This window comes from Homo sapiens, chromosome 20 (assembly GCF_000001405.40).
Source record: "Homo sapiens chromosome 20, GRCh38.p14 Primary Assembly".
Lineage (NCBI taxonomy): Eukaryota > Metazoa > Chordata > Mammalia > Primates > Hominidae > Homo > Homo sapiens.
The window spans coordinates 16589291-16615503 of record NC_000020.11 but is presented as its reverse complement, the minus strand read 5'-3'; the positions used below and the strand labels follow the sequence as shown (position 1 = coordinate 16615503).

The window sequence follows — 26213 nt, the reverse complement described above, 5'->3', positions numbered from 1 at the left end:
AATAGAGAATGAGTCACAAGCTCTACCCTGGCCTATGTATGGGCAGACAGCCAACAAGTAAAACGTAATTACACTCTACACCCCTCTTTTTCCTACTGTTCAACTTAGAAAGAAGGCAGCCTACTGCAGTTCTGCTCCAAATTCCTCAGGCCTGCGTTTCCGCAGACTCAGGCATTTGGAAATCGCAAGCAAGATGAGTGCAATTGTTCTCAGAAGATGACTGGGACCAGCTGTTCTCAAACGGTTTGGGCTCTGGGCCCCTTTACATCCTTCAGAACTATCAAGAACTATAAAGAGCTTTTGTTTATGTGAGCTGTACAGTCCATATTTATCACAGTAGATATTAAAACTGAGGGGCTTCAACAATTTAATTTAATAATAGTAACAGATTCATTGTTATATTTTATAAAAATAACTATTTTCTGAAACCAAAAAAATCAGAAATAATCAAGAGTGACACTGTTTTACCTTATTTATTTTTAGAGAGAGGGTCTTGCTCTGTGTCCCCTAGGTTGAAGTATAGTGGCACGATCATAGCTCACTGAAGCCTCAGATGATCCTCCCACCTCAGCCTCCCAAGTAGCTGGGGCTACAGGTGCATGCTACCACGACTGGCTAATTTTAATATTTTTATTTTTGTGGAGATGGAGGTCTCGCTGTGTTGCCCAGGCTGGTCTCAAACTCATGGTCTCAGGTAAGCCTCCCTCCTCAGCCTCCCAAAGTGCTGAGATTATAGGTGTGAGCCCCCACACTCAGCCTGTTTTATATTTTTTGCAAACCTCCTTAATGTCGGGCTTGAAAGAAGACAACTGATGGTATTCTGTCATCTGCTTCTGCATTTAAAGCAGTCCAATCCTTTGCATTACATGTAGCCTCTGGAAAACTCTACCATACATAATAATACTAACATGTTAGCATCATTACGAACATTATTTCAACCTTGTGGACCCCCAAAGGGGTCTTGGAGTTCCCCAGGGGTATCCCTACTGTACTTTAGAGTTGCTGCTGTGACCAGTGCTACTCAAAGCAAGATCTCCAAACTCTTTGTCACGGGTCTGTGTTAGATAAGTTCAGAAATTGAGTAAATGTTTAGAAACTCTTACAGCAATTTGACAGTAATTTTATGTCTGTTGAATCTAACAATAACGTTAATCAATCAGGGCTTTGTTTCATGTCTTTTCTATTTTTTTATAATTTATGTTTATTATATTTTACAAAAGAATCAGTCTGCAATGGATTGAAAATGAAGGAAGAAAGAGCTTTCATCACGGTTTCTGAAGTGATGATCTATCTTGGGGATGTTCAACGTGTGGTTCTCAGCAAGTAATGTCTACGTCATCTCGGAACTGGTTAGAAATGCAAATTCTCGGGCCTCCCTCCAGATCAAAAGAATCAGAAACCCTGGAGTGAGGCCCAGCTATCCGGGTTTTAACAAGCCCCCCAGGGACTTGAATGCTCAGGAAAGTTTGAGAACCACTGGTCTAGATCTGTGTTTTTCTAACTTAAAGGTACATCACTTGGGGAGCTTCTTAAACTGAAGATTCTGATTCAGAAGATCTGGGATGGGGGTGGAGACTTTACATTTCTAATAAGCTGCCAGGGGATGTGGGCATTGACCCCATTTTAAGTAGCAATCACATGGGTAAAAGAAATCTGTTGTTGAGACAGTTGTCAGCTAAAAAGAAACAAAACCAACACTGCAGTAAAACAAACAAACAAAAGGTGTTTTCATCAGGGTCTTAAGAATTGCAATTCAGGACACACAGATCTAGCAAGCGGCTCCATCAGGCAAGGTTGGGCAGGGGCTTATAAAGGTTTACTGTAAGTTTACATACCTGGAAGGTTTTCATATAGTGCATGATTGATGATGGCTGGTTAACAGCTTAGGATGTCTTTCAGTCTTGTTTGGCCTAGCTGTCTTTCCAGGAAGCTGGTGATCAGGCCCAGTATAAACAGTACAAGTCAAATGCAGTTGGTGTTACAATTTGGCCCAGTTCAACAAGTCAGATTTCATCTGGGTGTGCACATGACTGGGATCCAACTCCTTATGCCCCGCAGATCCCATTTAGATACCTCTTACATAACCATCTCCATCTTGGATTTTATTTTCTCCACACAGTGGAGAAACAATTTCTATAGAGACAGACCAGCAAATTGGCTGCTGTATCCCGTAGAAGGCCAAGAGGCTGTTAGTGGCATTCTTTAAAGGATGTTGTCGTAATTTCTTTTTTAATTGAGGTCAAGGCAATAGAGCTTTGAGGCAGGTGCAATTTAGGGAAGGCTGCTTTCCTTCTGGCCATGGAAATGAAGTCCTAAGAAGAGAGTTCCACTCCAGGTTTCTGCCAGCCTGGGATTTCCAGCATGGCTTCCCTCTCTGCAGCACCTTGCTAGCAACTTAATTATCTGGTGCTTGAAGACTGAAGGTGACATGCTCTGGGGAAAGCAGGACAACGGTGAGTGTTGAGTGACTTTACTGAAAATATAGACAAGTAATGAAATTTTGAAGAACTGCTGCTGTGGCAGGAGCTGAAGGAAACCAGAGGCAACAGCTGCAGCTTCTCCCAGTTCCTCAGGGAAACATGCTGGGGTGGGGAGTGGGAGGGAGAGGGCTGGAGTGCATGGCACAAATGCAACCAGTCCCACTGGACTGTCAGTTGAACTTGATAAAGGCAAAACGGAAGCTGAACATCTGCAAATCTGTTTAGATTGTGATACTTTGGACCAGAGGAACAGTTATCCCCAGGAACCACCATGCAGCATCAGGCCAGTGAAGGATAAATTTGGGTAAGGACAAACCCATTCCAGCTCCTGCCTTCACCCCAGGTCTTTGTGGGCCATTGGGCAAAGCCTTTTCAAATAAAAACTTGAGAAAAATGCCTATGAATACATCTTTCACAGTTGAAAGAGAGATAATATGAGCAGCAGTCAAATTTGCCAGGCTCTGGAATCAGACTGTCTGGGTTTGAACTCAAACCCCATGATAATGAGCCGTGTGTCTTTGGCCAAGTTGCTTTTCCTCTCTGTGCTTCATCAATCAGTTGTATTTGTTCTATCCCTCTCACCAGGCTTTGAGCTAAGGATGGTGACTGCATTTCATTCATTTTTCCTTTCTGGTGGCATCTGATTGAGAAGGGCAAGGTACTTAACTCTGTCCATTTTAAGATTTGAGTTGAGAGCCACAGGCAATATGTGACATTGGGATTCTAAAGAGGGAAAGAGGAGTAGTTTGTGGTGCTTGTGGTGGTTGTGCAAGGAAGATTTTGGACAAGAGAGTCTACTGAGGCTGGGACTGCATCACCAGGAACTTTGTAAGAGGTGCTGCAGGCACAGACAGATTCAGGGGCTCAAATGATGCCTCAGTCTCCTCCCTCCATCACTAAGCCCGGCTTGTCCAGCATCAGCTCTATCTCCAGGCCAGCTCTCCTCACCGTGGTAGATGGAGCCTCCGCATGTGGAGTGGCCCGGCTGTGATCCGGCTTAACTTGAGCTTTTATGGCCACCCTTTATTACTTTGCTTCCATGAGAACACACATACCGAGTTCCACACAACTGCTTTATAAATGAGCTTTTGGAAGATAAGTATGCAGAAGCCAGATATGCCCTGTTTCCATCTGGACCAATACCCATGTATTAATCTTCCCACTTCTGGTAACATAAAAACAGCTGGCCAAAGTGTCCTCCAAGCAAAATCCATAAGAGACTCAACCTTGGCCCCAAATGGTAGTTGAGATGTTTTTATACTTTGACTACTTTGTCCTTCCTTGTGACTCCTCTGCCCTCCTCTCACTTCATCCATTCTGTAGTTCCAACCCCAACACCACCATCTTCCCTTCCTGCTCACTCCCACCAAGTCAGACAACACCCATGCTAGAAAGAAGTAGTAACGATTGCACCTGTCACTAAATGATCAGCACCTCTGCTGCCCTAACAGCTTCCCTATGACAGTCATAGCCAGGTAGACAATGGAAGCCTGAATTCACAGAAGTCAGCCGCAGGCAAGTCACTGGGGCTGACTGAGACAGAACCACACCTGAAGGATGACTTCTGGGAAGGCAGCAGCTGGGGCGGGACTGGGAGCAGAAATCAAGATTGTGATGACTTTCACAGTTTTATCTGTAAAGGTCCTTTAAGTGCAAGCCAGAGAAATACATCCCAGACCACGGAAGGGAGAAATATAATTTATTAGAGGGATTTAAGTGTCCACAAAATAGAAAAAAAATCTGACCTGTTTCAGAAAGGACAGGAATTCACATAGTCTTGAGATTCCATACAGAAGAAACCATTTTTGGTCCTTGCTTACAAGGACCAAAACTTCATTGAAGTTTCCAGAGGTTTGGTTGACCCACTCCTGAGAGCCTAGCAATACTCCATGCAAGGGTGCGAGGCTGGTTTCCCAAAGGAAAAATAAGAGGCCATTACCAAGCAGCAGGGAAAAAAATGGTTCTCCATTGCATAGGTCATATTGCAGTATTTGTGGGTTTTCTCCTTCAGACTTTGGGTTTGCCATTCTGTTCTGTTTCCCTTTTCCTCCATGAGAACTAAAGTTACTGGGTAATTCATTCAATAACAACATTTCACAGGCATTTGACTGGGTGCCCCTCTGCTGGTCACTATACACACAAAGGCACAAATAAGACATTATCATGGCCACCAAGGATCAGAAGGGGAAGATGAAACTCCTCCCTGTGCTGCGGGAGAGGCGTGTACAGAGACACTGGAGTTCAGAGGAGGCATGGCCAGGTCCACCCAGGAATAGGGGCTTGAGAAAAGCATCCAGGAAGAGGTGAGCCTGAGTTGTCTCTAGAAAGATAAGGTAGGCAGGGGTTAGGCAGGGAACCCAGGCCTGGGGCGAGTGGCTTGCAGGGTGACATTCTAGGCAGGTGGAATACTTGGAGGAAGGGCAAAGGCACAGCGGCACCAAACATCCTGGATTTTTTTGTTTTGTTTTGTTTTGTTTTTTGAGATGGAGTCTCACTCTGTCTCCCAGGCTGGAGTGCAGTGGCGTGATCTTGGCACTCTGCAACCTCCGCCTCTCGGTTCAAGTGATTCTCCTGTCTCAGCCTCCCAAGTAGCTGGGACTACAGGCGCACGCCACCATGTCCAGCTAATTTTTGTATTTTTAGTAGAGACAAAGTTTCACCTTATTGGTCAGGCTGGTCTCGAACTCCTGACCTCAGGTGATCCACCCACCTCAGCCTCCCAAAGTATTGGGATTACAGGTGTGAGCCACTGTGCCCAGCACATCCTGGATTTTTAAAAGAAGAAGAATATGTTCTTGAATGCTGAGGGCAAAGTGGGTGGTGGTGGGAGAGAAAGCTAGAGAGGAAATCACAGACCAGGCCAGATCATGTAAGGCCTTTGTGGTCAGTGTTAGGACTTTGCAACTAATCTGTAGGCAAGAATTTGAGGCAGAGAAGTGACATGATCTGATTTGCATTTTAGGAAGATCCTGCTGACCCAGAATAAAACATGGCTAGAAAAGTGGAACACTAGAAATGGGGAAAGACTAGAAGATTACTGCAAAACTTGGAGTTACAGATGTCAGGAGCCAGCATCAAGGCAATTGGAATGAGAGTGAGGAAGAGGCAACCTGCAGGTGAGATGTCAAGCAGGAAGCATCTACAGGACTTGGAGCTGATTTGTTAGGATGGTGAGGGCTGGGGAAGCATCTAGGATGGCTCCAGGTTTACGGCTTGGGTGAAGAGGTGGATGGTGACACTGTTTCCCAAAACTAGTGTCTTCAGAAAAGAAAAGGAGTAGGTTAGGAAGAGAAAAAAGAGAAGTACAGGGTCAGATATTGTGTCTTGGGACATCTGTGGGGCAACCACAAGGAGCTCCTCAGTAAGACATTGGATCTCAGCATCCCAGAGCTGGGAGACTTCAGCATATGGGAGGTGGGTGTAGGAGAGTGAGAAGAGAGAAGAGACGATGGCCTCCGGCCTGAGTGCATGGGAGCAGAGAACAAGGAGCCAGTAGACAAGTCTGGGGAGAAACTTTCAGGGAGGAGGAATAAGAGAGTATTGTCTGAGAAGCCAGCAAAGGACAAAGTTTTAAGAAAATGAGTGCTCAACAATATCAGATGTCTCAAAGAACTCACGCATAATAACGCTCAAGAAAAGTCTGCTGGATTTGACATTTAGAAAGTCGTTATAGACCTAAGCTAAAGATCTTTTAGTGGAGTGGTGGGGTCAGAGGTCAGACTGAGTCCAGGGGTGAGTGGTGGGTCAAGCTGTGGGAGCTGTGAACACAGGAAGCTGCCTCCTAACACACTTCCCTTTCCAAAAGCACCATGAGTCCTGGAATGCCCGTGACCCATGCTGCTAGCGCCAAGATGATCTGGGGCTCTAACAAGAACGGACTATGGAGTTGCGCATCATTCATTCAATTATCTATTATTTATCAAGCATCTATAGGGTGTCTTCTATACGCCACGTACTGTACCAGGTACCTGGGCCCAAAAGATGAGTAAGACCCAGGCACTGCCCTACAGATATTCATGTTTTAATGAGGAAATACACGGATCAAACATTGCCAGGTAATCAGCCTGTGTTATAACTAAGTAGGGAAAGATGAAGGAGGTCAAGGAAGGTTTCATGGAGGAGTGACATTTGTCATTACAGACAATGGCCAGCCAAGGAACTCCTTGAAGCAGGGGAGAGGCATGATCAAATTTTTGTTGTAGTTTTATGCAGAAAAGGGATGCATTTTCACAAATTTAATACTTTCACATAACTGGCACCCAGATCAAGAACCAGGACACGACCAGCCCACAGAAGGCCCTCATGACTTTTTCTAGCCACTCATGAATTTTGCACCCTCCCTTTTTTTTTTTAACATAAATAAGTGTATATAGTACTCATTTGTGTCTGCTGTCTTTTGCTCAATGTGACATTTGTGGGATTCTTTCCACAATGCTGCGTAGAGTGGCAGATGGCCACTTTCAGATTTGTTTTTTAAGGAAATGTGGTAAAGATTTGAGTCTTGTGTGTAGATTATGAAAATCAGTCCTTTGCTTTGCTTTGCTGTCCTGGTACATGTGATTAACCAACAACCTTGGCTCCTTGCCCTTCCCCAAATAGAAGTGAGTGGGGCTGGCTCTCCCCATTTCCTCACCTCCCTTTTCAGGATTCACTATTCATTTCTCAAATTGCTCACAGTGTTCTTTGAAATGCAAGTTCTCTTGTATGTCTGCGTGTACAAGATGTGTGTATGCACATGTGCTGCCAGGGTAAAAGGAGAAAGGAATCCTGTAGGGTTTGCCCCACAGTCTCTAGTGCCCCATTTGGGGCAGTAGCAGGTGTGGCTGACAGGCTGTCCCAGAAAGAGACAGGCTAGCTGCAGGGTGTACAGCTGTGACTAACAGAGGGGGAAGGGGAGCAGTGGAGGGGCCCAGTAATGAAGGAACCACCCTCAGAGGAGACCTAAGTCATTACTGTCATTCTAACTGCCACCCTCCCGAATGCACAGGAAGCTTGCAAATCTCAGAGCAATCCATTCCCACTTCTGCTGGAAGAAAAATGAGAAATCCTATACCAGGAGGAATACATAATTCCTGCCTGCCTTCTTAAAAATACATCAAGACCCTACAGAAAATATGCTTTCAAACCTAGCCCCTCCGATACCCAGCAGTCAGGCGGCTTCTGCTGCCTGACAGCGCCTCATAAAATTCCCGCAGGAAGAGGTTATATGACCAATAAAACCTGCCCCCAACGTCTCTCTTGGCTGAACTTTGTCCTCAGAGCCCTTTCTACTTTCCCCGGCCTCTTTCGAGGTTAATAAACTCACATTTTCAAGGGCAGCTCTAGATGTAAAAGAGAGCAGGTTCTTTCCCTCTCTATCTGGTATGAATATTTGTTCTTTCTCAAATTGACACTGGAAATGTTTTGAGACCTAGCCTGCCATTTGGAAAGACCCCAATGTAAATCCCGTAGGACTGAGAGCCTTGTAGGGAGTGGTGAGCTGGGGAGACTCAGAAGACAACGTCTCGTTGCCTTTAAAACATTGACTTTCTCTCTACTTGCATTCATGCTAGCGCTTTGTTATATTCTTTCTCTCCTCTTCCTGTCTCTCTTTCTCTGTCTGTCCATGTGTGAGTTTCCTTGTCTGTGAGAGTGTGATTATTTAATATGTTGGTGAAGTGACCTCTGGCTTAGTAATAATATCCTCCAGTAGCCTCAGAACGTTACTAGGAGCCAAGGCCCTGAGAAGTTGAAGGTTGTGTCCAAGAACTTCTAGCTGCTTAGGGACAGAATTAGGACTAGACAGTGTGAAAAGCCATTGTCTCTCCCCTCCTAAATTGATCTTTCTGTTTTCTGGAGCTGAGTCGCTTACTGTCTCTTCTGGTCTCCACGGATATCTTTTCTGATCACATCAAGACTTTTCTCAAGAAAAACAGGGTATAATAACCACATGAGGTTATTAATGGCAGTTGATGCATAATGTGGACTCCTTGTTCCAAGAATATTTGCATTTCATCAGGGGCAGAGGCATGCACACACCTTGAACAGCCATTCATTCACTTGCCATGTTCCAACTTCTTCTAGCCACATGGTAGGCTGAATTTCTCCATCCCAGTGAAATCAGGGTGACCATGTGACCCACTTTGGCCAATATAATGGAAATGGAAATGACATGAGTCACTTCTGGTGGAAGCTTTGAGAACCAGTATATGGAACCTCCCTCAGTCTGGATCTCTGAGTAGCCAAAAAGAGCACAATCCCTATACTGATCTATGCTAGGCCTGTAGGGAAGTAAGAAATAAATTTTGTTGAATTAAGCCTCTGATATTTGGGGGATGTTTGTTATTGCAGCATAAACTAGCATACTCTTTCTGATAAACATGTCATGGATTTCAGGCATTGAAAATTGTATGCCCAGCAGCACTGGACCTGGACCATTGAGAGGCCATGCGCCACGTTGTTGTGCTCCAGCATTCTTCTATAACCACAGACACCAAGCCACAGTCTTGAGTACGTGATGTGTACCCAGCATCTCTTGGTTGTACTTACTGGAGAACTTGTTGACTTGAAGGCCAAAGGAAAGTGAGCCCAGGCCACCAAACACATCTTTCCCTCTTCTCCAGGGCCAGACACCTCCAAGAGTAAGTGTGCCCAGGCAGGGCCTATTGGTCAGGTCCAGAAGATGATATGGTCTGGGCTATAAGGCCAGGTTGTGTAGGTTACTGAATTGTGATTGGCATGCCTTTGTCCCAATTTGCTTTTCCCCATGGGTTTAAATTACTTGAACAACCTATTTGCTTTCCTCTAAAATTAAAATGTAACTTTTTTGCAGTCAGCGTTACAGTGAGTTGCTAAATCCATCCTTGTCATCCATTGTAAATTCAGCTCAACTTCTCGATTTTATTGAGAGCCCACTATGTGCCATTAGAGATAGTTCCTGCCTTTGCATTTGCAGTCTAGCAGAGACTGCAAGATGGGCATGTTAACAAGTAAGCAGAACAAAATGTGAGTCCTGTATGTAGCCCATTCATTGAAGAAACATTTATCAAGAGCCATCATTTCCTAGGTAATAGACATTGCAGAAAGTGTAGAGGCTGACCTAGAGTGGGATGGAAACATTTGGAAGCAATTGCCTCTTTTCTGGAGGATGGATGTGTTCCAGTTACAATCACTTCATAACAAATCTTTGTTGCTTAAAACAGCCATTGTGTTAAACTCACAGATTCTGTGGGTTGGGGATTCAGGCAGTGTGCAGTGAGAATGGCTTATCTCTGGTTCTCAACATCACAAAAGTCACTAAGGCTGAGGCTGATGTCATGGCTGGGGACTGGAGTCATCTGGAGGCTCCTTCACTGACATGTCAAGCACCTGGGCTGGGATGACTCAAAAACTGAGTTCACCTGGGACTGACAACCTACACATAGCCTTTCAATGTGGCCTGAGCTTCTCATAACATAGAAGCTGAGTCTCAAAAGAGAACATCCCAGAAAGGACATCAAGACAGTTAGTGTTCCAGTAGAAGCACGTGCACGTTGCATGGCCTTTTGTGACCTAACCTCGGAAGTCTGGCAGTGTCATCCCTCTGTATTCCATTTGTTGTAATAGTCACTAAGGCCAGGCCAGATTTCAAGGGTGGCACACAGATGCCACCTCTTAATGGGGATGTGTCCAAGAATTTGTAGACATATTTGAAACCACCACAGTTTGGGAGAAAGCAGAGCTTGCTAGTTGTCTAACTACGTTCCATTTTTACCTTCCTAGTAACAGAATCCCTATGTTATCAGTTAACTCAGATTTTTTAAAATCTACTTTTCCTGGCCTCCATAAAAGATGTGTGTCCAATGAGAAGAAAGGAGAAGTCATTGGATGAGCCTTTGGGAAAGTTATTTTATAAACTTTAAAGAATCTTCATAGGATAGTATACTCTTCTAGAAAGTGTCTCTTTCCCCTTCTCCTCTTCTTTATTCTCCCTGCCTGGAATGCAGATGATAGAGTTGGAGCTCCAGTAGCCATCTTGAGACCATGAGGCAATCCTGAGAAGGAAAGCTACACATTAAGGATGAGGGAGCAGAAAAATTAAAGAATACCAGGTCCTGGGAGACATTGTGGAGCCAACATGCCTACCCTGCCTTTTGAATGTCAAGTTATAAGACAGTAAAATACATGTCTATTATATTTGGTGGTGTCTGTCACCAAAATCAATCCCTAACTGACACAAGCGATCAGAAAGAGTTAGATCAGAAAGGAGGAAATGTAATTTTTTTTGGTAAAGTAATAATTGCACAAGCATTTGCTAAAATGAGAAGGAGGTTGCCAGATAAAGTAAGGAAAGACCTTTCATGCAGAGGGAACAGTATGGTTAAAATATCAAGGAAACCACTTGATCACTTTCTCCTGAAAAAATAACATATATTAGAGTGGCTTGGTGAGGTTACTTCAAATTATATTTGATGATTCCAGAGGAAGAAATAGTAGAACTTCAGGTATGCTGAGAAAGGTAAGATGGCACACCGATATTTCACAATAAGTTGCAAATAAATGCCTTTTATTTTGTATCCTAGCTAATAAACAGTTACACGGAAACTCCAAATAACTGTGTAAATGGTCAAGAACTCTTTGTAGACTTCCAAGCTGATTTTGGAGACGTCTATACCTCAGTCAATAATGAGACATTTAATTCTTTGGCTATGTCAATTATGTTATTCTTTAGTTTTAGAATGACTCATTGGGATATGGTCACCCTCAGTGCCAGAAAATGAAACCCATATACGTTGTAAGGGATCAGTTTGCAGCTGATTATTATTGATATAATGAGAAACAATTTTTAAAATATTCTTGGGCCAATGTTCCGTTGTATGTTCAAATTCCCTGAAATGACTAACTTTCAGAGCCTCCAAGAAGGCTGGCCAATTTCTTTAAAAAAAAAAAAAAGTAGATCATTTTAATTTCTACTAAAAAAAAAAAAACTACAAAAAAGGTGAGCTGAATTCTTTATGCTTTTTTTGTTTTGTTTTGTAGAGAGAGTCTCATTGTGTTGCCCAGGCTGGTCTAGAACTTCTGGCCTCAAGTGATCCTCCAGTCTCAGCATCCCTAGGAGCTGTGACTACAGGCATTGCCACTACAGTCTGCTAATTTTTTTTTTTTTGTATAAAGGAAGTCTCTCTATTTTCCCCAATCTATTCTCAAACTCCTGGCCTCAAGCGATCCTCCTGCCCTGGCCTCCCAATGTGCTGGGATTACAGGCATAAGCTACCATGCCCAGCTTGTATACTTAATTTTTGAACAAGCCTCCAGCTCCCACCTTCAGCTGCTCTTCTGAGAGAGAATGAAGAGTGGTGGTAAACAGCATAGGCTCCTGAGAGCTGGCCCTCTGACTAGCTGTGTGATCTTGGGCTAGAAACTTAGTGTCTCTGTGCCTTAATTTCTTCAATATAAAACGGTAATAATTTATGCCTACTTCAGAGAGTTGTGAGGTTTAATAGAGCTCAGCTTTGAAAAGTACTTAAAACAGTGTTTGAAATATGGAATTCAATAAATGTCAGTTATTGCAAATGCTAATTTTCAAAATATGTCTGTACCTCTTAGAACATTATAGCTCCTTTGGGGTCACATGTCTTGCCAGTTTCACTCAGTGCTAGTGTAATGTCATACGCATAATTGACACTCAGTAAATACTTACAGGCTGAGTTGGTTGATTTTAACACCCCCTCTCAAAGAATTAGCTCACATTAAATTAGAAAGAAACAGGGCTGAGGGAAATTATTGTGTTTTTTGTTTTTGTTTATAGATTTTACAGCACATAGTTATAATTTAGAAGTCCATTCTGATTTATTCATCACTCATTTTAATAGTCAGGGAATCAGGTAAATAAACAAACCCACTTTTCCCTCAAATTATTTGATGATGAAATAATATTTGTCTAGATAAGGCTTTATTTGCAGCTAATGTTCCGATGCCATTCTCTACTCATTACCACCCTCTCTCTCCATCCATCAAGCTGTCATTGCACTCCTACTGTGTGCTATGCAGCAGCTATGGTGCTGCATAACTACACACATTTCCCATGCCATGGTAGTGCTGACAATCTAGTGAAAGACAAATCATCACAAATAATCACACACAAAGAGGCAAAATTGTCATTATAGCAAGTGCCCTAAAGAAAAACAGTGAGAGTGATGTTTTTCTGAAGAACTGAGGCATATATATGTATATATAATACATATGTGTATATGCATGTGTCTGTTCACACACTTGTGTGACTACATACATATATGGATATATGCAAATGCCGTACTTGTGCTTTTGTATTTGTGGCATCATGAATTTTACTGGTCAACAGTTAACAATCTAGACCAAACTGCTACTTTTATGTAACATTGGAATAAAAGTAGCCAATCACTTTTTCTTTTTTGAGACAGGGTCTGGCTGCTCAGGCTGGAGTGCAGTGGTGCAATCTGGGTTTACCATAACCTCTACCTCCGGGGCTCAAGCTGTCCTCCCGCGTCAGCCTCCTAAGTAGCTAGGACTACAGGTGGATACCACCATGCCAGGCTAATTTTTGTATCTTTATTATTATTATTATTATTTTGTAGGGTTTTGTCATTTTGCCCAAGCTGGTCTCGAACTCCTGAGCTCAAGCAATCCACCTGCCTTAGTCTCCCAAGGTGCTGGAATCACTGGCATGAGCCACCATGCCTGGCCAATCACTTTTTCATTATGCATATTCCATCTCTCCTCCTTTCCAACTATTAATAATAGTAACATTTGTTGAGCACTAACTAATACCGTGTTAAAGACTTGGAGGCAGCCAACAGCATTGTGAGGCAGGAGCTGCTATTATCCCCATTTCCAGATGAGAAACTGAGGCTAGGGGAGTTCAATACCTTATTAAAAGTCAGCCATGGCAGGTTGTATCTCTGTCTCTGCATCAAACAGAGTATGGAAATAGATGTTATGGAAGCCAGCAATGTACAGGAACTGGATGGAGATGCAGGGAGCAAGGATGTGGCAATGGATCAATCTGCAACACAAGAGCTGGGCTTGGGAGAAACAGTAGAGCTGGAAACTTACTGCACCAACTAGCTTGACTGCTCCTATCACTTCAATGGCCTCTTTTGTTCACATGGCATCTCATCTCAACCCTGTCTCAAGGTTCCAGGCATGATTTGCCAACTGTATTCTGGACACTGATGGTGTCCAGCACTTCAAGCTCAGTAGTACCAAATTTATCATCCTCCACCTGCACTCCATCTTCTATTTCACTCCTGTTCTCTCATCGCCATTTTTGGCCTTATTTTAAGTTCATCTTCAGCTTCTCCCACCCCCAACATGAAGTTGCACACAAGGTGAGTTGTTTGCATCTCCAAAACATCCTACTGAACCCCAAGGTTCTTCACTCTTATGGCTCTTGTCTAATGACTTGGCTCCAAGGGTTCTCTGTCAGATGTGTCTTTCTCCACTGACGTTCCCACCCCCCATTCCTCAAAATCTGGGTCCCTGCATGACAATCCAGATGTCTACCTCATGCCTCTGAGCATAGGTGTTGAGAACCATTACTGTGCTTAAAATGTGAGAGGCTCTGGCCAAGCTGAAGACCCCAAGGGATTTCTGGGACAGAAAAGTAGGTCAAGTTTCTCCTTTAGGAATAGACGCTGGTGTCAGTAGATGCACTGCTCTTTGAAAATTGAACTTGGCAATTCCTCAAAAGCATTTGGATCATCCCCAATGCCATGCTAGCAGGCCCTCCAAAGAATCAGGCTTCCTGACTGTCCTGAAATAATCTGTGAGGGAAGCCAGCTGCTCAGAGAATCTGGGGCCAACTTTTCAGGAGCCTGCGCCAAGTTATACTTCTGTGTAATGCATGTTTCAGGGTGTGTGGATGTGGAGACTGCATGTGCCTGGGTGTGTGGGCAGGTGGCATCTGGTTTTCCCAGGGCAGAAGGTAGGAGAATGATGTCCAGCCAGAGAGAGGGATGAGACTAGTAAAAACTGCTAGTAATTGGGACCCTTTTGGAAAGACTGAATTTAAAAGAAAACAAACTTCCATGTTTGCGCCAAATATTAATGACCACCAATATTTGTAAAGAACTTAATGGTTTAAAAGCATTTCACATAGGGTATCTATCTCATTTAGTTCTTATAAAAATGCCAGAGGAAACTCTGATTGTTCCACCACACAACTCTCTTTCAAAGTATTCGTCACAATGACAATTATGCATTTCGAGATTTAAAAAAATAGCTGTCTTCCCTATTAAACTATAAGAATCATGAGGACAAAATCCGTGCCCAGCACCTACAGTAATGCTCTGACATGTAATAGGTGCTCAATTAATATTCAGTAAATGAGCTGGGCACAGTAGTGCTCACCTGTAGTCCAAGCTATTTGAGAGGATGAAGCAGGAGGATAGAATGAGCACAGGAGTCCGAATTCAGCCTGAGTAACAGAGCAAGACCTGTCTCTGAAAGAAACATTTTTTAAAAATTCAGTGAATGAAGAAATTCAGTAAGCAAATACATAATTGTATAAATGAGCAGAAGATGTTATATAATAGAGTTGTATCAAAACATTATCTAAGGTAACACACACCCCAGACAAATACGCATCTGGCTCTTTTAAATAAAGGGAGATTGTTTTATTATTTATTTATTTATTTACTTTATACCTAATGTACCAACAGATATTTTTCAAGTTTTTGCTTTGAACTAATTATAGATTCAGAGGAAGTTGCAAAGAAATGTGCAGGGAAGCTCTATGTATCCTTCACTCCTCCTCTGCCAATGTTAAAATCTTGCATAACTATAGTACAATTCCAACAGATTTTTTAAAATACTGTGTTTTTCTAAAAACAAACAAAACCAACCACCTAGGCCGGGTGCAGTGCCTCATGCCTGCAATCCCATAACTTTGGGAGGCCAATGTGGGCGGATCACTCAAGGTCAGGAGTTCGAGACCAGCCTGGTCAACATGGTGAAACCCCGTCTCTACAAAAAATACAAAAATTAGCCGGGCATGGTGGCGCATGCCTTGAACCCTGGAAGTGGAGGCTGCAGTCAGCCAAGATCGCACCACTGCTCTCCAGCCTGGGTGACAGAGTGAGACCCTGTCTCAAAAATACAAAACAAATAAACCCTAAAGAATAGAATGAATCATACTTGATACAGTAGACCATCTCTCTTCACTGTGAGGCTGAGGGGCTTATCCTGGGAAAGCCCTGCCATGATATGGAAACTCCCTCTTCATTAAAGTGAATATGGAGGGCAATCAATAGGGGGCCCCTGCACCCCCCTCCAGGTGCACATACACCTGGGTACCAGACACACAGGTACCTGCTCTCCATCTCTGCATTTTTGGAGCCCTCCAGAGTTTCCTTGCCCTTCCTTAAGACTTGAGAGCAGAGCCTCAGAGTTTGGTTTACCATTTTTCTGCAATTACTGAGTCTGAGACATTTGACGTTCACTGTCAGTGGTCATTAGCAATATTACTTAGGGAATAAACCTAAAACTTCTTTCACCTTTGTAAGTGGTGCTTACTGGAATGGAAATTGAATCCTGGAGGCTGTGTGTCACGCAGGGGATCCCCCTACCCTGACAATGTATATTCTTGCCACATCAAACAAACCCTGGAACATGTTTGACAAATCAGAAGCCCAGTGTGTGTTTTTCTTCTGCAGTGTACTTGAGATGTTTTCAGCAAGATAGGCCGACCATCCATCCCATCTGCCACTCCTTAATGTGGTAGGAACAAAGCACTCTGCTTACCTACTTACCTGCAGCCAAACTGGGAGTCCTTTTTTTTTTTTTTTTTTTTGAGACAGAGTCTCACTCTATCACCCAGGCTGGAATGCAGTGGTGTGATCTCGGCTCACTGCAACCTCCGCCTTCCGGGTTCAAGCAATTCCCCTGCCTCAGCCTCCCAAGTAGCTGGGACTACAGGCGTGCACCACCGTGCCCAGCTAATTTTTTGTATTTTAGTAGAGATGGGGTTTCACCATGTTGGCCAGGCTGGTCTCGATTTCCTGACCTTGTGATCTGCCTGCCTCGGCCTCCCAAAGTGCTAGGATTACAGGCGTGAGCCGCTGTGCCCGGCCTGGGGACTCCTTTAGTAGACAGGCGTGAAGTTGAAGATTGAGTTGAAAGCATCTTCATTCTTTGAACCCCCAATGTAGTATCCTATTACTTTAGCACCTGTGCCAGATGTTGACATCGTTCATTCCTACATCCATCCCCATCTCCACAAACAAACTGGAAGATGAAAACAAGGACTACACCTGGAATAGTTCTCTCAGTAAGTGTGGATTCAGTGCAGAATAAATGAAATCAATATTGAATGGCAATTCTTGATTTGTTTTGAATAAAATTTGAAATGATGAACTGCCCATCTTCACCAGCCAGGTAATCTGGCCCAAATAAATCTTAGGCTCAAATTTCTCTCACATGTCGTTCTCTCCTGGTGTTATCTTGGCACTGTTTTGGGAGCAGAACAGACATGATTTGATTTCTAATATGCTTTCTCCTCATATCTGCTTGTGGGTCAGGGTGCAGGGTCAGGAGCAGATGGCAGAGGCATGAGAGAGCTTTGCGCATTGCAGTGCGGAAGCATGTGGGCCTTTCTGAGTAACTGAAAACCCTAGGAAACTATACATATAGGGTAGTGGCTAGGCCATATATCCAGGGTCCATTCAAGCTTGGTTGCTTCCCAGAAAGGACTTTTAACATTTTCTGTTTTGCTTTGCCTTAAAGTATTTGACTTGGTTGTCTGCATGATGATCAAACAAATTAGACAATATACACAGTGAGGCCAATCTCACATTTTAAAAGGAAATGGGAAGTTTTTCTGATTGACAGTTTTTAAATGATAAAAAATATACTTTTTTTTTTGAGACAGAGTCTCACTGTTTCACCCAGGCAACGTCTGCCTCCTAGGTTCAAGCAATTCTCCTGCCTCAGCCTCCCGAGTAACTGGGATTACAGGTGCCTGCCGGCACGTCCAGCTAATTTGACATTTTTCATTTAGTTTATTTTATTTGTATCTATTGGGATATTCTGGGATACTTCTGGATCTTTACCCCCGAGAGCCTTCTAGGATCACAAAACCACAAAAGAAGACAGATTGAAGAATTCAGCTCTGTCTAAATTTGTGATTAGCCCAAAGACTTCTCAGGCAGATGTAACAAGATGCCAACAAATTTAAATTAGAAATTCTTCAGGCTGAAGAAAACAAATTTGACAAGTGATGTTATAAAGCAATACTAAATTATACCATTTGGAAGTTTTTTGTTCCACAAATAATGTCACTCACCTACCATGTTGAACTTTATAAACAAATGCTTGTCTTCTAAGCAAAGAGCCTCAGGCTGCCAGGGACCACAGTATCTCAATAAGCATGGTGATATGTCCCTTGGGTGTGTCTTCTATTAATATCATTTCATTTCTATGTTTTTGGAAGTCTATTGTCCTGATCCTTCCTGTACCATTTCTTTCCAACTTTTTAAGTAAATATAGATTGACCTTATTCTAGGTTCTATGGGGTTAGGAGAACATAAATATATTAAAAAATAAAATACACAGTTCCATCTTCCGAAGTGCTTATTTATTTAATTTGGAATATGTGGTACAAACATTCACCACTAGAAAGTTAATTTTTCTGTAAAGGTCAGTTTGTTAATTATGAAATGTATAAGTACTTTCAATATTTATCAAGTCTGATAAATATGGCACTCCACATAGATTTTTGTTGGACATTAACCGTGGAAATGCCTCATGTAAATGAAAGACACTGGTAATTATTTGGACTTGAGAAATTTCATATGCAACAAGAGACACAACAGATCGCTTTCTTTGAGCCAAGATTAGAACAAAGGTTTCCTTTATTATCTTGTTGAAGATGACCAAGGTCGGCCATGGATAATGGATCCAGTCTTTTTTTTTTTTTTTTGAGGGAAAGCCTTGCTGTGTCGCCTAGGCTGGAGTGCAATGGAACAATCTCTGCTCACCAAAACCTCCACCTCCCAGGTCCTAGCAATTCTTCCACCTCAGCATCCCGAGTAGCTGGGACTACAGGCGTGCGCCACCATGCCTGGCTAATTTTTTTTTTGAACTGGTGAAGTTTTATTAAATCCACAGAAGTAAAAACCATGTTATGAGGAACTGGGAGATGGGGCCACCAGGAGGTGGGAGTCAGGCCACCAAGGGAGTGGGGGTGGGGTGAGAAGACAGGGAACAGAGCCAGGCTGGGCTGCCCATGGGGACTCCAGCCTCAGGGGCCATCACCAGGGCCACCAGACAGCTCCTGGGAACTCAGGAAACCTGGCTAATTTTTGTAGTTTTAGTAGAGACAGGGTTTCACCATGTTGGCCAGGCTGTTCTCAAACTCCTGACCTCAGGTGATCCGCCCATCTTGGCTTCCCAAAGCGCCGAGATTACAGACATGAGTCACCACACCCAGCCTGGATCCAGTCTTTCTAGGTACACTGCAGCTAAGTTGATCTGCAGTAGCCTGATGATGGTTTTCTGCTGCTGGGTATCCCCAACCAGGGGATAATCCTTCCCAAAGTCACATATGAAACAGCCCCTTTTCTTATTTCCCTTCTGGCTTATTATGTCCTCACTTTCTTTGAGGTGACTAGTACAAGTATCAAATCTCAAAAGGTAATTCGAAGGGCTTTTCAGTATGTGCCCAAATCCAATGCTCTGAAATTTTTCTTGGTGCTGTTAAATATCACTGTACATTTTAGCCAAACATGGCTGGACTTCTCTTTTTCTTTTCCATAGTAGTCAATGTGTTCATGCTGTGTGCAACAGAAGGAGAAAAACGCTTATTTCCATATTTATTTTGTGTGTTACTTCGCCCCCAAGTGATTGATCATTTAAAGTGAGGTATTTAACATGCTTCTTTAAAAGCATTGAATTAGTTTGCTTTCTTCCTCTCCAATGCTGACTTTCAGCATAAGAAGGCATACAGTGATGTTAAAAACAACATCAAACAAACAGAATTTGTATTTTTTGAGCAGGTTTATTGAAATATAATCAATATACTGTACGATTTAGCAATTCATCACACACAATTCAATAGTTTTTATAAATTCACAGAATTGTACCACCTTCACTTACTGTGTAATTTTAGAACCTTTTTATCATCCCCTAAAAATCTCTCTTGCCATTAGCAGTCACTCATGTTTCCTCTTCTCTCAAGCCCCTGGCAACATCTGATCTACATTCTATCTGTATAGGTTTGACTATTCAGCACATACAAATAAAATCATATAATATGTGATCCTTTGTGACTGGCTACTTTCCCTTAGCAAAATGTTTTCAAGGTTCAATCATCATATTAGTCCTTCATTTTTTTTTTATTTTTTTTTATTTACTTTTTTTAAAGAGACAGAGTCTCACTCTGTCATCAAGGCTGGAGTGTAGTGGTGCAATCACAGCTCACTGCAGCCTTGAACTCCTGGACTCCAGCAATCCTCCCATCTCAACCTCCCAAAGCACTGGGATTACAGACCTGAGCCACCGCACCTGGCTTCATTTCTTTTTATTGCTGAGTATTATTCCTTTGCAAGGTTATATTATATTTTGTTTATCCTTTCATCAGTTACAGACATTTGGGTTGTTTCTACTTTTTGGCTATTATTCAATAATACTGCTATGGATGTGAGTTTGAGTAGACATATACTTTCATATCTCTTGAATTTAAACCTAGCAGTAGAATTGCCAGGTCATACGTTAATTCTCTGTTTAACATTTCAGGGAGGTGCCAAACTGTTTTCCAAAATAGCTGGACAGTTTTACATTCTCACCAGCAATTAATGTGGGTTTCAATTTTTCCACATACTTGTTAATACTTGTTATTGTGAATTTTTTTGATTGTAGCCATCCTAGTAGGTGTATACTGGTATCTCATTGTGGTTTTAATTTGCATTTCCCTAATGACCAGTAAGGTTGAGTATATTTTCATGTACATGTCGGATGTTTGTATATCTTCTTAGAGAAATGACTATTTCGACCCTTTTCCTATATTTAAATTGGGTTATGTCTTTTTATTTCTGAACTTGTTGTCTGATTCCCTTAACAAGCATACAATTTGCAAATATTTGAAAATATTTTCTCCCATTTTGTGGGTTGTCTTTTCACTTTCATGATGGTATCTTTTAAAGCAGAGAAGTTTTAAATTTTGTTAAAATACAATTTTTGTTTTCTTTTGTCACTTGCGCTTTTGGTGTCATAACTTAAAAACCAAAAAACAAACAACAACAACAAAATACTATTACCTAACCTAAGGCAACAATGATTTACTTGTTTGTTTTCTTCTAACAAATTTCTAATTTTGAGCTCTAACATGTACATACATGATTCATTCTGAGTTGATGTTTGCATGTGGTATAAGGAGGGAGTCCAGCTTCATTCTTTTGCACGTGGACAATCCGCTTTCCTGAAACCATTTGTTGAAAAGACTCTTCTTTTTCCCATTAAGCTGTCTTGGCACCCTTGTTAAAAACCAATTAACCATAAATATACGGGTTTATTTTCTGGACTCTCAATTCTATGCCATGGATTGATATGGCTATCCTTATGCTGGTACCACACTGAATTATTGTAGCTTTGTAGTAAGTTTTGAAATTGTGAAGTGTGAATCCCCTATTTTTTGTTCTTTTTCAAGATTTTTTGGCTATTCTGGGTCCTTTGAATTTTCATATGAATCCTAGGATCAGTGTGGCCATTTCTACAAATAAACCAGCTAGAATTTTGATCAGGATTGTGTTGAATCTGTAGATCAGTTTGGGGAATATTGCCATCTTATCTTTCTACTGTATCAGCTATATTTCCATTAATTATTTTTGTTTCTATCCATGAGTGAGATGTCTTTCCATTTATTTGTGCCTTCTTCAATTTCTCTCAACAATATTTTGTATCTGAGTATAACTTTTATACTATGTTACGTTATTCCTAAGTATTTCATTATTTTTGATGCTGGTGTAAATGGGATTGTTTCCTCTTTCTTCCTCTCCTCTCCTCTCCTCTTCTCTTTTTTCTTTTCCTTTTCTTTTTCTTTTGTTTTTTCTTTCAAGAGACAGGGTTTCACTCTGTTGCCCAGGCTGGAGTTCAGTAGCAAGATCTAAGCTCACTGCAACTTCTGCTTCTCGGGCTCAAGCACTTCTCCAGCCTCAGCCTCCCAAGTAGCTGAGACTACAGTTGTGAACCATCAATGCCTGGCCAATTCTTTTATTTTTAGTAGAGATAGGGTTTCACCATGTTGCCCAGCCTGGTCTCAAACTCCTGAGCTCAAAGTGGTCAGCCCCCCTTGGCCTTCCAAAGTGCTGGGATTGCAGGTGTGAGCCACTGCACCCTGCCTAGAGTTGTTTTCTTAAATTCATTTTTGGATTGTTCCTTGCTGGTGCATAGAAATACAATTGATTTTTTTTTCATTAATCTTGTATCCTGCAATCTTGCTGAATTCTTTTATTAGTACTATTTTTTTTAGTGGATTCTTTAGGATTTTCTATATATAAGATTATGCCTTCTTCAAATAGTGATAGCTTAATTCTTCTTTTCCATCTGGCTGCACTGTATTTCTTTGTCTTGCCATATCGCTCTGTCTAGAACCTCCAGTACAATATTGAATAAAAGTGGTGAGAACAGATTTGTCTTATTTCTGATCTTAAGAGGAGAACATTCAGTCTCTCACTATTAAGTGTAATGAAAGCATTTATTGTTATTATGTAGAATTGCTTGCTATCTATGCTGGAATGTTCTGGGTTGAGGGATATAGATATAAATGTATATATTATGATATAAGACAGATAGATAAATGATCAGCTAAGATATTGATTGTTGATCCCTGGAACTTTCTTTGCTTTGTTTTGCTTTGTTTTATTTTTTGTTTGGACCTCGGGTAAGGAAACATGAGTTAACCATGTTCATCAGTTCTATTATCATTATCACCATCATGCTGATATCAGCAGTCCACTGCAAGGCCCCTCATTTGCTTTATTTTTGTTTTTCCCTTTGTATTCCTAATTCTCATATCTATTCTCCTCTCCCTGTCCTAGACACCCATTCTAATGTGCTGATGTACATCCCTAATATGCATGTACCTTTAAAAACACTTGGTGCTGTTCTATATCTTTGTGAACTGTTAATGCACATAAATGATATTAAAGGTGATATGCTATATATATTAGTCTGTTTCCTGATTTTTTAAATCATTTTGCTTTATCATATCTCTCATGCTGCTGAATATACATTTAAATGGTTGCTTTTAATGCTTCATCGTATTCTATTGTGCATGCACCAATTTTCTTTATCTTGCTGCATTGTGATAGACAGTAAGTTGTCCTTCTTCACACCTTGGGGGCACAAACAATGCTGTGATGAAGATTCTCATTCATATTTTCTTGCAGACCTATCCAAGAATTTCTCTAGGATATTCAAGAGAGGAATTTCTGCCTCTTTTGGCTTAAACATATTTAATTTCATAAAACAACATCAGTTCGTTTTTCAGAATGTCTAAGTTTACATTCCAACAGTAGTGCATGGAAGTTCTTTGTCTATCCACATCTTTTTCAACTTGTTTTTATTTTTTAATGTTTTAAACTTTGCTGTTATTAGGGGTGCAATGTGTGTTTTGTTTTAATTTTTATTTATCTAATTTCTAATGAAGTTGAGGACTTTTTTCATAAATTTCTGTCTTTGCTATCTGTGAAATGCTTATCCATATTCTTCACCTATTTTTCCATTGGAGTTCTTATGTTCCTTGTTGATTTGCAGGAGTTATTGGTATATTTAAAATATTAACCCTTGTCAGTTTTAGATATTTCAAATATTTTCTGCTAGATGAGAATCAGTCTGTTTTTATGATATTATTATTAATAAATATGTTTTTGTTCTGTGGAGCTAATAGAATAAAAGTATGACAATGGTCTCAGCTCGTTGCAGCTTGACAATATATAGGAAAAATTTTAGAAGTACCAAAGACTGGAGTATGTATCCTCTCAGATCCAAAAGAGATTCTGATGTTGGTGGCTGACATCTCACAAAATTCTTGGTTCTGTATTCAGTGACCACTCCTCATTGATTTTCTTTCCATACTCCTTCTCTTCCTTTATTTTGAAGCAACTTCATAAATGGAGAGTGATCATATTTAAAAACACTAATGGGACACTCATTAGAATAACCTTTAAAAAATGTTGGATGGGATGTGAAGAAATTGGAACCCTTGTGCGTTGTTGAAAGGGATGTAAAATGGTGTAGGCACTATGGAAAACAGTATGTAGTTCCTCCAAAAATTAAACATAGAAATACCATATGATCCAGCAGTCCCACTTCTAGGTATATACCCAAAAAAGCCCTAGCGTTGGTGGTATAGTGGTGAACGTAGTTGCCTTCCAAAAGAATTGAAAATAGGGACTTGAACAGATGTTTGTATGCCCATGTTCATAGCAACATTATTCACAACAGTCAAACAATAGAAACAATATAAATATCCACCAACCAATAAATGAATAAACAGAATGTGGTATATATACAAATGGAATATTATTCAGACTTAAAAAAGAATAAAGTTCTGATACACTACAGCATGGATGAACTTTTTAGACATTATGCTAAGTGAAATAAGCAAAAAGACAAATACTGTATGATTCCTCTTGTGTAAGGTATAGAGAGTAGTCAAATTCATAGAGGTAGAAAGCGGAATGGTCATTGGCAAGGACGACATAGCCAGGGAGGTGAAAATGGGGAGTCGTTGTTTAATGGGTACTGATTTTCAGCTTGGGAAGATAAAAAATGTTCTGGAGTGGATGGTGGTGATGCTGTACAATAATGTGAATGTAGTTAATGCCATTGCACTTACACTTCAAAATGGCAAAGATTTGTAAATTTTATATTTTTTATTTTTTTAAAAAGCATCAACAGGTAAATTGATGTCTATATACATTTGCTGCATTCACCTATGAAAATGATTTATTTTCATTCTGGGCCATGGGATCTTCTTCTATCCCTTGTGTGGAGGCTGAGTTAAAGCCTGATGCTTAGAAAGTCCCTGGGATGGAAATCCCTTTGCATTGTAGAGCTAGCAATCTAACACCTGAAAATCAGGTAATAGGTCTGGTGACAGGCTGTTGTTGAGTGAAGTGGGATTGCGAGCCAGAACATTAATGAGATAGCTTCCTGCATTAGCAGGGAGTAAAAGTGTGTGAGAGAGGATACTGACAGCCCTCCTGAACACTCACTGTGGCCTGGCCACGTGAGTTCACTGATTCAGGCATAGTTTAGTAACAGATAAGAAAGGCACTAGGGAACCCCTAATCCCTTCAACATCAAGTCTATCTATAACCCATTCAAGCAAGCTGCTGCCCCCACTGCATCCACATGTCCAAGTGTCTGCTTTCCCTTGACACATGAGCTAATGGAGGTCTTGGTTGCTCATAGGCATCTACCAGCAAATTCGCCAATGTGCCTGGGTCTGTGCTGTCAGACAGCTCTCCACAGTTAAATGAATGATTGCAGCAACATCTTTTTCAAAAGTCGACATACCCGGGGATAATACAGACCCAGAAAAGTCATTTCCTCTGGAAAGAGTTCAAGGAGATTGGAGGCTGACTGTGGTGATGAACTGATCTATAATTGTGACAGGCTAATATTGTCCCTGGGTGCTGCAACAGGCTTCAAGCATGAAAGAGCTCAGGAAACAATCTCTTTAAAAAAGATGAAGCACAGATAATGGTTTTATTTTGTCTGAACCAAATAGGAAATCACATGCTAAACCCTTTCAATCACTTTGCAATGTCATTACCCCACTCCATCAACACTGCTCATAACCTCTGACAGCTACAAGAAGACCTCCATGATGGCATTTATTTCAGGGAAATGGATGTATCAGCTATTTGTGTGACCTCGGAGAGGAAACATTTGCAAGCTGGGAAGTGTCCACAGAAGCCGTTCTTCTTGGTGGCTGTGGAGGAGTGAAGTCGACACTTTGTTGCTGGAATCGGATCCTTTTTGAAAATAGATGTATGGAAGAAAATGCCACCCCACTCTCTCCTTACCACCTCTTCTCTATTCAAGTTTTCCCTAGCATCATGATAAACATCTCTCTCGAAAATAAGCAAACAAAGAAATGGGGCTGCGTACTCCATTCTGGAACTTTCACTGGCCTCTGACATTTTTGGGGTAGCCTTCGACATCCTCAGCCCGGACTATCCCCTGCCTCGCGCCACCTGCTGTTGAGAAACCATGAGACGGTTCTGCCTGCACACCTCCCAGCAGGCAGATGACATACAGGGCACACTCTCCTTTTGGTTTTTTCATTCCACTCTTGACTATTTTTATTTTTATTTATTTTATTTATTTTTCTAAATGTAAAATCATATACACCCCCACATCCAAAATGAGGAATATAGGCCGGGCGCAGTGGCTCATGCCTGTAATCCCAGCACTTGGGAGGCCGAGGCAGGCGGATTGCCTGAGGTCAGGAGTTCGAGACTTGGACATCTCTAAAATACAAAAATTAGCTGAGCGTGGTGGCACATGCCTGTAATCCCAGACACTCAGGAGGCTGAGGCACGGATAATCACTTGAACCTGGGAGGCAGAGGTTGCAGTGAGCCAAGATCGTGCCACTGCACTCCAGCCTGGGTGGCAGAATGAGACTCTGTCTCATAATAATAATAATAATAATGAAGAATATAAAATTGTGAAACTTTTCACTTTCCCAGTTCTCTCTATGAAGCGAAACGGTGTTTCTAAGATATTCCAG

General features: G+C 41.6%; 2 long non-coding RNA genes across 2 annotated transcripts in view; one reads left to right on the top strand and one right to left on the bottom strand.

Moving 5' to 3' along the window:
- LOC105372542 (uncharacterized) overlaps positions 1–4978 on the bottom strand; it is a 29065-nt gene extending 24087 nt beyond the window's left edge. The window contains exon 1 of the long non-coding RNA XR_937286.3: positions 1836–4978. This is a non-coding gene — a long non-coding RNA (uncharacterized LOC105372542). The remainder of the gene's footprint in view (positions 1–1835) is intronic.
- A 5015-nt stretch (positions 4979–9993) lies between these two features.
- On the top strand, positions 9994–25607 carry LOC105372541 (uncharacterized). Its single transcript, XR_937285.3, has 2 exons — positions 9994–10956; positions 24888–25607. It is a non-coding gene; the product is annotated as an uncharacterized LOC105372541 (long non-coding RNA).
- The last annotated feature ends 606 nt before the right edge of the window (positions 25608–26213 follow it).